The sequence below is a fragment of the Homo sapiens genome, chromosome 2 (assembly GCF_000001405.40).
Source record: "Homo sapiens chromosome 2, GRCh38.p14 Primary Assembly".
Lineage (NCBI taxonomy): Eukaryota > Metazoa > Chordata > Mammalia > Primates > Hominidae > Homo > Homo sapiens.
The window spans coordinates 103854001-103870127 of record NC_000002.12 but is presented as its reverse complement, the minus strand read 5'-3'; the positions used below and the strand labels follow the sequence as shown (position 1 = coordinate 103870127).

The 16127-nt window shown below is 38.5% G+C and overlaps 1 long non-coding RNA gene across 8 annotated transcripts; it reads left to right on the top strand.

Moving 5' to 3' along the window:
* Positions 1-419: 419 nt before the first annotated feature.
* On the top strand, positions 420-14528 carry LOC107985927 (uncharacterized). Of its 8 annotated transcripts, none has more exons than XR_007088672.1 (8): positions 463-511; positions 818-933; positions 3367-3499; positions 4144-4406; positions 9919-10006; positions 10485-10653; positions 12865-12974; positions 13242-14528. It is a non-coding gene; the product is annotated as an uncharacterized LOC107985927 (long non-coding RNA). The 8 variants fall into 8 exon arrangements; XR_001739620.1 differs by having other exon boundaries at positions 474-511; positions 775-933; XR_001739617.1 differs by having other exon boundaries at positions 474-511; positions 775-933; positions 12865-13088.
* Positions 14529-16127: the final 1599 nt, after the last annotated feature.

Here is a 16127-nt window from a genome sequence, read left to right as displayed (position 1 = left end):
GAATGGTCTTGCTGAAGAGGGGACATTTGAGTGGCCCAAACAAAATAAAATGTGCGTATCTGGGGTGACAGCATTCTAGACAAGGGGGAAAAAAAAACCAGAGGCGGGCCGGGCTCAGTGGCTCACACCTGTAATCCCACCGCTTTGGGAGGCCAAGGCGGACGGATCACGAGGTCAGGAGGTGGAGACCATCCCGGCTAACACGGTGAAACCCCGTTTCAACTAAAAATACAAAAAATTAGCTGGGTGCGGTGGTGGGCGCCTGTAGTCCCAGCTACTCGGGAGGCTGAGGCAGGAGAATGGTGTGAACCCGGGAGGCAGAGCTTGCAGTGAGCCGAGATCGCGTCACTGCAGTCCAGCCTGGGCGACAGAGCGAGACTCCGTCACAAAACAAAACAAAACAAAACAAAACAAAAACCAGAGGCAATGCCCCTGAGGTAAGAAAGTGCTTGACATGCAGGAGGAATGGGAAAGTCAGTCTCCATGAAAGGCAGCAGTGGTGGAAAATCAGGTAAGATCTCTAGGCAAGGACCAGAACTCATGGCCTGTGTAACCCAGGGTTTCTCACCCTCGGAGCAATTGGTATTTGGGCTGGATAATTCTTTGTTATGGGAGGCTGTCTGTGAGGTGTATGGTCTTTAGCAGTCTTTCTGGCCTCTGTCCATAAGGAGATAGTAGCATTCCCTCTCCATATGACAGCCAAAACAGTCTCCAGACATTGGTAAATGTCCTCTGGGAAGCAAAATTGCCCCTGGTTGAGAATCACTATTTCAGACCATGAAAAAGGATTTATGTTCATCCTATGAGTTTTACCAAGTCCTTGGCCTTTGAGCTTTGAGCAGGAGAATTACAGGGCCTGATCGACATGAGGACAACTCTGGACATGAGAATAAGAAGGAAATCAGCAGTGGGAAGGCAATGGGAAAGATCCAGGTGAGACATGATTCAGGTGAGGCTTGGAATGCATAGGTCATCACTGACAGGATTTACTGATAGGAAGCAAGAAGGCAGTGAAAGAAAGAGAGATAGTGAAGAAGACTGAAATTTTTAGCCAGAGTTAATTGGCCAGAATGAGAATGAGAATGCCATTGACGGAGAGGAGAAACCCCCAGTGGAAGTGGAGCGGGGGGTAAGGTTGTGAGGTGTGGAGATCAGCGCAGGGAGTGGTGCAGTTTGAAGGTGACAGCAATTCTGTCAAGGACATATTTGAGATGTCCTTTAGATATCCAAGTTGAGATGATGAATAGGTGGTTGGATACACAACTTGAGGCTTCAAGGAAGTGATTACTGGTAGAAACAATAGATTGGAAATCAGTATGCAGATAATATTTTAAAGTATGGTACCAGATTTAATCACCTAGGATCTTGGTACCAAAATGTGTGCCAGGAGCAATGCAGGATAGTTAAAAATTTTTGAGAGAAAAATGCCAACACTTGGTATCTGTCAGTGCCCAAATATGAGGTCTAGGTAGCTTACATTTTCAACATTAGTTTGAACCACATTCCTTTCAATGATATCATATTTTTGTGAAGTATGATAAGAATGCAACTACTACATGAAAATCAGTGTGGAACAGGAAGCGGGGGTGGCCATGTCCAATTAGATTGGGGGATATGAGAAATTGTGTAGTGCACGACAGGTGCATAAATTGCACTAGTGAAAAATATGAATACTATTATATTTTCTTTCAAATTTGTGTAATTTATAATATGACTATGAGGCTATTAGGACATATATCCATTTCCTATGAGTACAGTAATGAATTGCTACAACTTTTGTGACTTAAAATAACATCAAACTACTCTCTTTTGGCTCTGGAAGTCAAAACTCTGACATGATTTCTCTGGGCTGCAATCAAGATGTGGGCAGGGCCACATTCTTTCTAGAGGCTCCAGGGGAGAACCCATTTTCCTCCCTTTTCCTATATCTCTTGCATTCCTGGCTCATGAACCCTTCCTCCATCCATCTTCCAAACCAGCAGCATGGTATCTTCAAACTCTATCAGTTTCCATCATCATATCACCTTCTATCTCCTTTGACCCTCTTTCCTCCTTCCTCTAAGGACCACTGTGAATATGGTGGTTTATCCAGGTAGTCTAGGAAAATCTCCCTACGTTAAGATCCTTAAATTATTCATGTCTGTAAAGCCTCTTTTGCCATATAAGGTGACAGATCTGGGGATTCGGATCTGGATATCTTTGGGGCCATAATTCAGCCTACCACAGGGTGTAAATACTTAGTAAGGCATTTTGACCTAACTATCTAATAAATAGAAGTTAGGCATTTCTTTTGGCCTTAGGGTGGTCTGAAAACCATTACTGAAAAATGAAAGGCACTAAGAACTGTGAAAGTTTTGTAACTTCTGATCTAGGTAATAATGTAGTTAGAGACCCAAAGATTCCCAAATATTGAGTCACAAAGAACTTTGACATTTAGACTTTGAGAAGAGAGGAAGGATTTGGCAAAAAAAGAACAAGAAAGAATAACTAATGATGTAGGAGAAAAACCAGGAAAGTGTGAGATCTCAGAATGCAAGTGAAAAAAGTGATTCAAGAGTGAGGAAACAATCAAATTTATCTAATATCACATATAGTGTAAGACCAGGAGTGAGAGATTATATTTGGACATAATTGGGGTGCCAAATGTAAATATGAACACATTTTAATAATTAAATGCTCAATTTAATATAGTGAACAGTCATTTAAGCTAAGCTTCAGGAAAATAGTTGTCACCCAAGTAGTGTATTTATAGCAGATGAATCTGTCTATCTATCTATCTATCTATCTATCTATCTATCTATCTATCTGTCTGTCTACCTTGTGTTAGCATACCAATGTCATGAGATCAGAGGTATATAACTAAAGAAAATCATTATTGATGAATTACTCTGGAAATACTTGTAATTCAAATTTGGGCACTGCAGAAGGACATTTCACCAACAACCAGGGTTACTCATGCAGTCTAAACACTGTCAGTATTGGCAAAGAAACAGAGTCAGAATGCAATTGATTTAATTAATAATTCATGTATTCATTCAGTCAACAAACACTTACAGAGCTCCCACCATCTCGGGCAACATGCTGAGGACTTAATAGTGCCAGGCAACAGAACCCAAGACTAGCCACACTCTGCTGATAGGTGTATCATGGGCAGAGCAACATGCAGAAAGAATGGGCCACAGGGCAGAGCACGTGTGAGGTAGCAAAATTACATAATCTCGCCTCGCAGTTTCAAACCCTACCCATTTTTTAAATGCGATTTTTTCAGTGTATTGCATTTACTCATAAAAATATATACCCACATTATGCTATCAGGAGCTTCATCAAAAAAATTTGAAATGCCTTTCCCATAATTACCTCCACCAGATTCCAGCAGAATATCAAATGAGCAGAGCGAAATATCTGTTACATACCACTCACTCCACTGACCTCAGTGAAACATTTGTTTCACTATCCAGATGGAACAATTGAAATGTCTGCATTATTAAGAAGCAGTCAGGTAAAATTCAAATAAAGCTCACCTTCTTTTAAAAATGAATGTTTGTTACTCTTGCTGTCATTTTAATTCTTTTTTATTTGGGGAAACAGATATTCATTTATGGTTATAAGCATCCTTTCTTCCCTAACTCAGCCTTTTCAGAGTGATTTTCTTTTAGTATGTGCTACAGTTAGATCTATTTTTCTAAAGACAGAAGTAATATGTAAAATTCCCTGTTCATGTATGGATCTTTAGAGGTATACTGTATTTACATTTTGACATTTGGATTGAGGGTATTGAAAGAAAAACAATCTGTTCTGAGGTGAAGTGAGTAAACTCACTGTGAAGTACACAACGTAAGGCTACATCATTACTATGGGCTAATTCAATTTTTTATCAGCCTATTGAGAAAATCCTACTCTTACTTTTAATATATTCATTTAAAAGGTCCCCGGGAACCTTGTAACCATAGGAAACTGTAGCAAATCCAAACAGAAAGATGTTAACCAAGTAGCTCTTCTTAAAAACAATAAGGGTATACTGTAGTAAACCCCAAAGATAAGAGGCTTAAAGAAAAGATGTTTCCATTTCATGTTGCATAATTTCTTCCTGGATGAGAGGAACTACTTGCCAATTGCTTTCCCCTAACCCCCTCTTCATTTAAGGATTCATTAAGTTTCCATTTGGCCTCGCCCCAGCCTCTCTTGTACTGCCTTTGGCCAATAACCATTCATCAAGCATTTGTTTGCCATGAGCCTATGAGACAGGATCGTCTGCCCAAGTGGAATCAGAAGCATTTCACCTAAGAATTGGGAAGAATTTCATGTCTGCTTGAAAATATGCTTTTCCAGGGCAGTTTTCCCTGCTCATCTATAATTATGGAATTGAACAATGCTGATCTCTGACTCTGTCAAGCCATGCTTCTAGGGTAAGTTTCTCAGATAAAATACAGGACATTCAGTTAAAATGGAATATCAGATCAACAGTGAATACGTTTTTAAGCATAAGTATGTCCCAAGTATTAAATGGGATATACTTGTACTAAAAAAAATCCATTCTTTGTCTGAAATTCAAATGTAAGTGAGCATCCTGTATCTATTTGCTAAATCTGGCAATTCTATCCTAAGGGCAATTAGAATAATGACCTCCTAGATAGATGTGTTTTAGTGCATTTTCAAAATGGCCAAGTGGCCAGTATTTACTACCCATCTTTTCAGAAAATCAGGAAGGAGGCCAAATGTAATGACAACTGTTTAGCAAGAAATGGTCCTGAGATTCCAGCCTTTTAGAAGAATGCTATCAGCTTTTTCTCCTGTTCAAACTGAAAAGACTCCAGAGTCTTATATCTTAGTGTGCAATACGGGATTGTAAAATCTTTACTCTCAATCAACAATAAAATTTAAAGTCAAATCTGATGTTTTTTAAGGTACATAGATTCAAAGCTAGTGTTAACACGCAGAACAACAAAATAGTAATACACATTTTTTAAGCAATTGTACATTGCATTAATTTAGAATTAAGAAAATAGACTCTGCAAGGGAAAAAGACTTAGATACTATTTGACATGTGTTACGCTTTATTTGCTGTGGCACATTAGGCTAGTTATTTTTACTGCCTGAATGAGCCCCAGTTTTGATATCTGTAAATTGGAGACAATATCCTATATGGTAGGGTCCTTGTGAGGATTACACATTGGTTAAGTGAAAGAGTTAGCAGAACACCAGGGATTTAGCAGGAAATCATTCAATGATAAACATAATTATTTTTAGAGGCATGGATTAGGTATGTCACCTACTGAAAATTATTAATCATTTTAACATTGTTAAGGAAACACACCAGGATCAAACTCCAAATAAAACAATGAAGTCATTTAAGTGTAACACCAGATATTTTAATATTCAATCTTAAAGTATTGTGGTTAAAGAATCAATGACATACAGAGGCAAAAGCCAGATAATGCACTACTCAAGGATAAAATGTGAAAGTTCATAATTTTATATGCTAACAAATATATTTTATAACCATAGTGCTATTGCGGTCCCCGTACTGGTAGATATTTCTGGCCAGTTACACAGAACTCCACAAGGTTCAGAAACTTAGGAGCAGAGTTGAACCTAGTTACTATGTTATCCTAATGATAATTTTACCATAAAATATTTTTATAGTTTAGGATCTTATTGGCAACATATAGAGTATTAACAAGTTTTCATCAAGAGCTGGATGCAGGCCCATAGTTCCTCCTTTTAATAATTTGTTTATTTTTGTTCTTATGTGACATGCAGTTGCTTAGTGCCAAACACATATTGGGCACTATGTGAAGTTCACATCTAGATGAAATGCTAAATCAGCAAGGCCACAGATCACATCAAAGTTGTACACTGCTGGCTCCTTCAGTCCGTTGTCTAGTGCATGACTCGCTAGCTTACCCACTCTTGCCAGAATTCTTTACTCTCTTACATTCTGTTCCTCCAAATGCCCAATCCTGAATCAACAGACACATGTCCTATTCTACTCCTTGACTCATGACACTGAGGGCAATTGAGGCAAATTACATAACTCTACAGTTTCATATCAACACACTTTAGAATCTTCAATCAGGTATATAAATCAGTATTCCTTTTAATGGCCCTAGTGAGCTCTTTCCTCATAGTGGCTAAGTTTGTCCTGGCTAGGTCTGGTTAGTTTAAGTCTTCCTCACTGTACTGTAGCCTCCTGGTCTACCTCTAACCTCTGGGTCAATATTCTATGCAAATGAAAGCAAACATTGGTCTTGATACATAAACATGCTTCTCCATACTTATATCTCTGTTAATTTTCCCGAACAGCTTAATTGGGTATAGCTATATTATTATGAGATTTTTAAGACCTTTATTTTATTTATCATCATTTTTACTTGGTCTCTCTCCTTTTCAAGACTGTGTCTTGGATTTCTAACTATCTTGTATAGATATAAGACATTGAGCAAGGTGTGAGAAATTCTCCATATTTATATCTCTGTTAATTTTCCCAAACAGCTTAATTGGGTATAGCCATATTATTATGAGATTTTTAAGACCTTTATTTTATTTATCATCATTTTTACTTGGTCTCTCTCCTTTTCAAGACTGTGTCTTGGATTTCTAACTATCTTGTATGGACATAAGACATTGAGCAAGGTGTGAGAATCATAATTTGAAAGCATTTATATCCTTATTTTGCATTTACCTATAAACTACATTAATTGATTATGCTTATCATATTATACTTTATTAACTATAAATTATATTAATTGATTATATGTGTTACATTAATACTATGTGAAGATAATACATACATCTATCTTCTCAGTTGTCTATAGCACCATTATGTATTTTAATTTCTTTCTCTTTAACTCTCCACTTATCAATGTGAGAAGAAATTGATAATAAAAAGATTTACTTGAATGCCTTTTTGGATAGAAAGGATGTTAACATATTGATTTCCTTCAGAACTTAAGTTACAGAAGTCAGGCCTTTGCCACAAAGCAAAGAAAGAGAGTATTAGAAGGAGAATATTTGCATTATTATAATAATATGCATTATATGCATAATATATGATAATATATTATGATAATATAATATAATAATATGATATGATAATATGCATTAGAAGGAGAATATTTGAATCTTGGTTCTATCAACGTCAACTGTGTGACCGTGGGCAAGTTATTTAGCTTTTCTGAATCTCCGGTTGCTGATTTGAGATAAGGATAATATATCCTTTAGAGACCTATTGGAATAATTCATGAAATAACCCATTTGAGAACCACTGGCATATATCTTGTGCTCAATAAATGCAAGTCTTTTTTCTTCTTTGTTCATTCTTAATAAAATCTTGTGCTTTGACACAAAATCTATCTTATATTGATAATTCTTCAAAAGGATTTAAATAAAATAATTTTAAAATAATAAACTATGACATTATTGAATATTATTAATATTTAAAATAGTTACTTGTCAATTAAAATTTTGTTTTTATTTTAAATATATGCATCTTACATAAATAAAGTTTAAACAATTGAAAAAGGATGCTTCTTTTCCCATATAGATACAAAGGTGGTTATAGCATCACTATGTTTTGACAAGTTACACGGATTCTTTAAAAAAAAATTGTGTGAGGAGTGGGTACTAATATTGTTTACCTTTAAAATAAAGAAATAAAATATATTACTTTATATTAACTCCATGGATTACATTAATCATCCAAAAGGAGCAACTCTGTTCACATTTCTTCCCTCCTTTTTCCTTGTCAACATTTCCTGGTTAACCCGAGACGCTTTGCCAGCCCTATGGCCTTGAAAACTAAGTAGAAACAGGTGGATAGGAGAGAATACTGTATTTAGAGGGTTTAGGAAAGTAAGTTTGTGAACTGAAGTTCCTAAATAGGATGCAAATCTTAGAAGAAGAAACAAAAAGTTTGCAAATGCACAGGCACAAAATTCCCAGAGTATTATAGAGCTACCCACACTGTGAGACCCCTTATTTGTTTAATACGTTTATTCAACACATATTTATTGAACTACTCTTGTACCTCACACCATATAACTATGGCATAGGTATCTTACTATATAGTTGTTAAAAATTAGGTTAAAATGTAGAGGTAAGAAGTTCTGAGACTATCTCAGTATCATCAGGTACTAAAATAAAGCAACAGATGAGTGTTTATTTAGTTTTTTCTTTAAAATAGCCAGAAAATATGTTAAAGTCAATTCTCAAAGCATACTGGGTGTGTTTGGCCCATTGTCTGTTTCATACAGTCTTAAATAAAAGCTACAGGATGCATTAACACCCTGCATGCAACTTTTACTTATCCTCTACAAAGAACTTCAGCTTTACAAACTGTTACTGAGAATAGCAATTTTTATTAACCTTGTAGACAAACTTGTAGCCAAAATCATTTTCTGATACATGCTATATTCACATTCCTATCCATGGATAACTGAAATTTTGATGTGTTTCTAGTTCATTCCATTTGCATTTGTATTTTTTTTCCCTTTGTGGATGAAAATATTTCACTCTCACCAGATAGTAATGTAAAACTGAATATTTGGGAGCTCTGAATTGAACATGTAATTTGAAACTAGAACAGCCAGTAAAATTATGTAGATGTACCACTTCATAATTTATTCCTGAAGTATTTATTCACTAAGTTCTATCTTAGTTACTTCTCAGCCTGAGTAATCTACCCCTTACCTCCATAATCCCTTCCATACCATGTTCACTCCATTATCTTTTATTCATTTTCTTTTTAAGATAATGGAAATTAACCACACCCCATGCACAATGTTTATGAAGGTAAGAAAGAAGGAAAGTACATCATACCGAAGATCCCACTCCTTAACTCAAAGTTAAAAGTTTGTGACACATCTTGTATCTCCCCAATTCTACTTCTTCCCTCCCCACTACAAGGTCACCACTTATTTTTATTTTTATTTTTTTCTTCCATAGTTTTACCAGTGCATGTGTCTCTAAAAGCATATTATTAACTGTGGCTCCTGTTTAATCTTTATAAAATATCTCTGGCTTTTTGCCCCCTCAATCCAACATTTCTTAGACTCCTCCATTCTCATGCATATAAATGTAGTTTTTCAGTGTTGTCCAGAATTATTCTGTGAGAGTCACACTGTGATTATCTAATCGACTGTCGATGAACATATGGGTTGTTTCTACTTATGTGCAGTTATGAATCTGACTGCTGTGAGCATTCTTGTATGTGTTGCCTCTTCTACGTGTGTACGGAATTGCTGGGAGTGGAATTGTTGGGTCACCAAGCAGCTGTGTGTGTTTAATGGTATTAGGTGGCAGAGTACGAAACTCTTTTCCAAACTACTTGTATAATAGATGACTACTGGTTGTATACTGAATGTTAGATGTTTACCTTCCAACCAGCACTTTATAATTGGAGACAGAACCCAGAATCTGGAGCCAGCAGACCTGCTTGCAATTCTTGGGCAAGTTCTAAGTTCTGCACTTCAGTTTCTGGATATAAAATTAGATCACAGGTTGTTGTGAGGATTAAATTAGAGAGAAAGAAAAAAAGAAAGAGAAAATGTGTTTGGTATTCAGAAAGAACAGCACCTGGTGTTCAGTGCCTGCTATGTGGATGTCAGTTATTAGTTGTAAACAAAATTCTGCTCAGCTGGTGACATTGTCTTGTGTTTTAAGAAAATGTGGTAATTTATTTTTTCATCTAAAATTCTCCCAGCTCATATCAAGTTTAAGCCACTTTCTCCCCATCATTCTTCTCTTACTCTTGTCTCTCTCTCCTCATGCTTTCTCTCTTTGGCTTTCTTTTTAATATCACCCCGATCCTCCTTTCTTATCATAACTTGACCTAATGTGAAAGTAACCACACTAGTCACATAAATTGAGTACATTTTCATGTTTCTGATCTGTGGTTTTTGTTTGTGTGTGTGCTTTCAGTAAAGGAGCTTGGTCACACTCATTTGGTTACTGATACAGAAACTCAAATCTGGAAGCAACTGTGCTGGAAAAGGGTAGTGCGAGAAAGGTAAAGATCAATTTGGCTTCCAACAGCTTGAGAGGTGTGACTGTGTGTGTGTGTGTGTAAGTCAATAGGCAATGTGAAAATTCTTCAGAGACATACTTGTGGCTGGTTTCCAAGGGGCACATCTTGGACTAGAAACTAACAGCTTGGAGAAATAGTTATCTTTCAACATTGCGATCCTTTTCCAAATCCAGACCTTGTGGCACCATTTCACATGACCAAGGAGCAGGTAGAGCACCACTGTCCTCAAATGTCTCTTTATGAGCGTCTGGAATCTTTTGATTTGAAGATTTCAGCAATAACTGAAACACCATAGAAGCAAGGAATCATTTTTATCTCCCCACATGCTTACCAATAATAGATCAGATGAATGCCCAAATTAGGTAACTCCTTTATAGCAACTCCTGTAGTGGGTTGAATTCTATCTCCAAAAAGTTCAGGTCTACCTGAAACCTCAGAATGTAATTTTATTTGGAAATAGGGTCTTTGCAGATGCAATTCATTAAGATAAGATGAAGTCATGCTGGATTCGGGTGGGCCTAATAACCAGTGCCCTTATGAGAAGAGGACAGGATCCACAGAGAATACCTAGAGCAGAAGGCCATCTAAAGGCAGAAGCAGAGACTGGAGTAATACACCCACCAGGGAAGGTAAGCCGGGAGCCAGAAGACCACAAAGCCCAGGGAGAAATCCCTCCTAGAGCCTTCAGAGGGAGCATGGCCCTGCTGAGACCTTGATTTCAGATGGCTCACCTCCAGGACTGTGAGAGAATACATTTCTGTTATTTTTAAGCCATCTTGTTTGTGGCAGTTTATTGTGGGAGCATGGTGAGACTGATACAAGAGAAGAGGTGAAGAAAACTCTGAGATCAAAAGGAAATATATAAATTATATCTTTATGTAGTTATGTAGAGTATACACATAATCATTTTGTAACTGTATCAAATAGATTAAGACATTAATGTAGTATGGAAGACAGCTATAAGTTTTGGATCTAAGCTGTGTGAGTGTGTGTGTGAGTGTGTGTGTGTTTGTGCACGCACAGGGGTAGGAGAGTGGAGAATTATTTTTAACTCTGGATTTTACCTTTCAGCAGGGATCCAGGAGAGCTTCCCTGATGCCAATTTATTATTTCCCAATTTTAAGTTACACTTTATATATGTTTGTGCAGAATGAATTTTTTCCCCTGAGGGTTTGTGTGGCTTAAACGCAAAAGGGCCCTTAAAGAATATGACTGGAGGCCAGGCCCGGTGGTTCACACCTGTAATTCCAGCACTTTGGGAGGCCAAGACAGGTGGATCACTGGAGGTCAGGAGTTTGAGACCAGCCTAGCCAGCATGGTGAAACCCTGTCTGTACTAAAAATACAAAAATTAGCTGGGTGTGGTGGTGCACACCTGTAGTCCCAGCTACTTGGGACGCTGAGGCAGGAGAATCCCTTGAACCTGGGAGGCAGAGGTTGCAGTGAGCCAAGATCATACCACTGCACTCTAGCCTGGGCGAAAGAGCAAGACGTCACCTCAAAAAAATAAAACTAAAAGAGAATAAAAATAAAGAATATGACTGGAGTATACAAGACACAGAATTCTTCACAACTCCAGAGATACATGCCTTGCAATTATTTATCAGCAGTTTTGAAGGCATAAACAGCTGTGAGTGACAACCATCTGTCACAAAACTTACACAAGCTCATTTCCCTGACCTTCTAACTCTGGCACCTAGTGACAAAGGTGTTATGGGCACACGTGGTCAGCCTTGAAGTGCTTTGTAAATGAAGTGCATCTGGCATGATACAAGCTTTTGCCTTTAAAGCAGGCACATCTTATTCTCTTAGGTATTATGGCCAATCTGTTAATACGTGATTTATACTCAAATGGCACAGCACCCTTGCAGCCATGACGGAAGGTGGTTTTGCTTTATTTTGACAAATGTGGCCACAGATGGGAAGCTTAACATCATCTCCCTCAGACACACAGTATCTTTTAGCTTCTACAAAAGGGCAGAAACAAGGAGTCCAAGTACATGCCATTAGCAAACACTTTACACTACTGCCATCTACAATGGGGTCACAGAGTGCCATTTGTTGTAGCTAATTCATACATGGGATTGCCAGACTGAGAAGCCCATGCTTTAGCCAACAGTGATGAGGGCTTTCCTTGGATCTGTCCTTGTTGAATAGTCACTCTAATAAAATATGATTTGACCATCTGAGCCAGCATAATCGTCACCAAAAATCACTGCAGTCATGGAAAAGCCCAAACCTCTACTCTTTAAAAGTGTATGTTTGATTGTTACGCTCCCTGCCACTCTTCCTCTCCATTGCTCCTCACCACCACAGGCAAAATTCTAGGACAACTGACACATACTCACAGTGGTAACACAAATAACTATAGTCTCTATGTGTCATCTCAGCAAATTGGATATTTAAATGTCAAATAGCACTAAACCTAATCTGCATGCCTAGATTCTCCTGTGCTAGAAGCTGGGAACTTCGTGTTGCTTATCCAGACATGAGGGCAGCTAGGATACATCGAGGGAGGTTTACCTTGAGGGAGGTAAATCAAAATGCAGAGGTTGCATTTCCCTCTGAGTTAGGGAAGGTTTTGTTTTCTCATGTACAGCATATAAAAACATCCCAAATAGGTAAAAAAAATTTAATAATAATAGTTTGGATTACTAGCATCACAAATTACCTATGAATGTCATTTCACCCCACTTTTGACAGTCTCACTTTGCATACTGTCTCTCTGAATGATTATTATGTCTGAAAAGTAAGATGTGTAGGCAGCCAACTGGCTTCTGAAGCATGTGAGCCTCTTCAGGCATTAAGAGGAATCTCCAATCTAATCCACCCTGTTTACAGGTAGGTTTGCCAGAGAAAATCGCATGCCGAGCTCACCTTGTCCGTGGACCAGCACACAAGCCATGCCTGGACACCTCCCTCCACCAAGGCTGCCAGTCAGGGGATTTCAGGTGGTTTCTTCAATCGGAGTCTTGGCAGTTCTACACCTGTCCTCACTCCACATGGGATATACGTGTAGAGACTACATCGTGCTTTAACCTTGAGCGCTACTTCTTAAACCAAAAGTAAATTTAAACTAAGGACCCATTTCAGCCAAACTTTCCCAAGCAATTCTACTTTCTTCTCTCTCTTATTTCCTTTAGGTCTTAGTTTCCTCTTATCCTTGTGACCCCTTATATTCCATTATGGTTATAGGCTTTCTAATCTCTTCCTAACAGCTTCTACTCAGCAGGGGGAAGAAAAATGGACCATGTTATAACAAATAACATGGCGGTGAACTCTGTGGATGGTGGAGTTGTTCTGTGTGCTCCAGTTCCTACCGAGATTGTGCCTAACTCATCATGAATCTCAGCAGCAGCAGCATGGACACCATCACCAGCAGAAGCGTTTGCAAGTATCCAATTATGGGTTAGAGACTCTGCAAGGAAATTACATTCACCCAGCACCTGGCCAGAACCTAAGACTTGTTTCAGCACTTCTTGCAATTAGCAGAGGGCAGTTGCCTCCGTGGTGTGTAGCCAGTTGGGGTGATGAGCAATTCTCCCCACAAAAGCCTCATGAGACATCTGGTGACTGAGTTCGCAATGGCACTGCCTCAGTGTGTGTGCCCATAAAAAGGCAAGCTGACAGTACCCGTCTAGGACAGGGTTCACCAGGCTTGTCTGTGCCTGCCTCTGCTAAGATGCTCTCAAGGGACTGCTAGATTCCCACCCTCTTTATTTAACAGTTCTTCCAACAGAGAGGCAGAACCTACTTCATTCAGCTGCTTTCCTCTCTCCCCAGTTTCAGAATTACTATAATTGCCCATTGCAGTTGTTCGGCATTCATGTCAATTTCAGTACAAGCTGGAGAATTCAGGAGAAGTTGTAAGGTGTGAGGGTTGGGAGTTGCATCCACTTGTCAGGGAAATTGCGATGTCCGAGGCAGGTCTGAGGCCTTTGCTACTTGGATCGCTCCAGCAGAATGCATTGAGGGAGGTCTCCAGGAAGAAATGTCCCTCCATGGCCAATTGCATGCCGCATTGGGGAGGGAGGTGTCAAACAATGGTAAAGTGGATAGATAGTAAAGTGTCTTTTACCATCTCTTATAAAGACAAGTGACACTCTGAGATAAAAAGCCACAAGGCCTCTTCTAAAGTTTATATTTACAGAGGCTCTGTGACTGCATGGCCACTTTTCTCAGCAGCTATAGCAGGTCTTGGAATAACATTGCTTCATTCAACATCACTTTATTATAATGTTGATGAGAAAAAATATCGATTCTCAGCTAAGGCCACTATCTGTGTGGAGTTGTCATGTTCTCCTCATGTCTGTGTGGGTTTCCTGCCACATCCCAAAGCTGTGCCCATCTAGTGAAACAGAATATCACCTGGTCCCAGTGTGAGTGAATGTGTGTGTGTGTGTGTGTGTGTGTGTGCGCGCGCATGTGCGTGTGCCATGGGATGGGATGGTGTCCTGTCCAGGGTGGGCTCCTGCCTGGCACCCGAGCTGCTGGGATAGGCTCTGGCCACCTGAGACCCTGAACTGGAATAAGCAGGTAAGTAATTATCTTACTTGTTTTTATTAGTCTTTCTTAAATGTATGTATAGCTCACATTTATTTCCATGTCTAATGTTAGAGTTTTCTGGTCTTCATTTAGAAGTTTGGTGAAATTTTTTAACCAGAGAAATATGCTATAGAAACTTTACTCTTATTTATAACAACTAGCCTATGGCGAAATTGGTTATCTTATATGTCATTTCACTTAAAGTCATAGTTTCCAAGAACCTATCCATTATGTTTAGTGAGTTCTAACTGTACATACTAAGCAGCATTTATAGTGCAGTGAAAAATTGTGAGATGATCCTGTGTACAGTGTCAACTTTGGTTTAGAATTACCTGTATCATGCAAGGCAATACAGCGTTGAGTTTGGGTATTTTAATTCATCTCTATGAAATGAATTATTGGGAGAGATTTGTTAAAGGACAAAAAATTACAGCTAGATGGGAGGACTAGTGGTAGTGTTGTATAGCACTGTAGGATGACTATAGTTAATAATAACATATTATATAGTTTCAACTAGTTAGAAGGAAGATATTAAATGTTCCCAATACAAATAAATAATCAATGTTGGAGATGATAGATATGCTAATTACCCTGAGTTGATTGTACTATATGTATTGCACATATGCACTATATGTATTGCAACAACACCATGTACTCCATAGACATGTACAACTATTATGTGTTAATTAAAAGATTTTTTTTAAAGTCAACCAGTACTGGTGGGCACGGTGGCTCATGAATGTAATCCCAGCACTTTGGGAGGCTGAGGTGGGAGGATTACCTGAGGTCAGGAGTTCCAGCCTGGCCAACATGGTGAAACCCCGTCTCTACTAAAAATACAAAAATTAGCTGGGCCTGGTGGCCTGCATCTGTATTTCCAGCTACTCGGGAGCCTGAGGCAGGAGAATTGTTTGAATCTGGGAGGCAGAGGTTGCAGTGAGCCGAGATCACGCCACTGCACTTCAGCCTGGGTAACAGAGCAAGACTCTGTCTCAAAAAAAAAAAAAAAAAAAAAAAAAAGTTAACCAGTATAACTTGTAACTAATGAAATTAAACCTATGAGCTTTATTGCTTATATACTCAAATCAATAAGGGAGCACCCTAGTTGATACTCCCTTAAATAATCAAAATACACTCATGTAGTCAGAGAATCTCAGAACTGAAATATAGGAGTCTCCTGAGGAATCAGAATCTATTACATAGGCTACCAAGTGTAGAATCCACATACTCAAGCAGTCCATCTCTTTGTGGCCATTTCCTGTGACCTAGCCCTTCCTTTCTTTCAGTGTAAGAAATTCCATTTCTAGGAAGCTTGGAGGTACAAATGTTCCTCTTTATTGAGTTGCTTTTTGTGTCACAGTACCTTACCATTTATCTTCTGGGCATTTGTACTATTAAAATCATGCCTATTTCATCTTCATTTAAAACCAATACTTAACAACAACAGTCAAGTCTTTCCTTTCTTCTTACACTGTCAGATAAAAGAACCCCAAATTCCATCACAAGATCTCAATAACATCTAATTGTGATATATAATGCTTTATCTTTTTTGACCATTA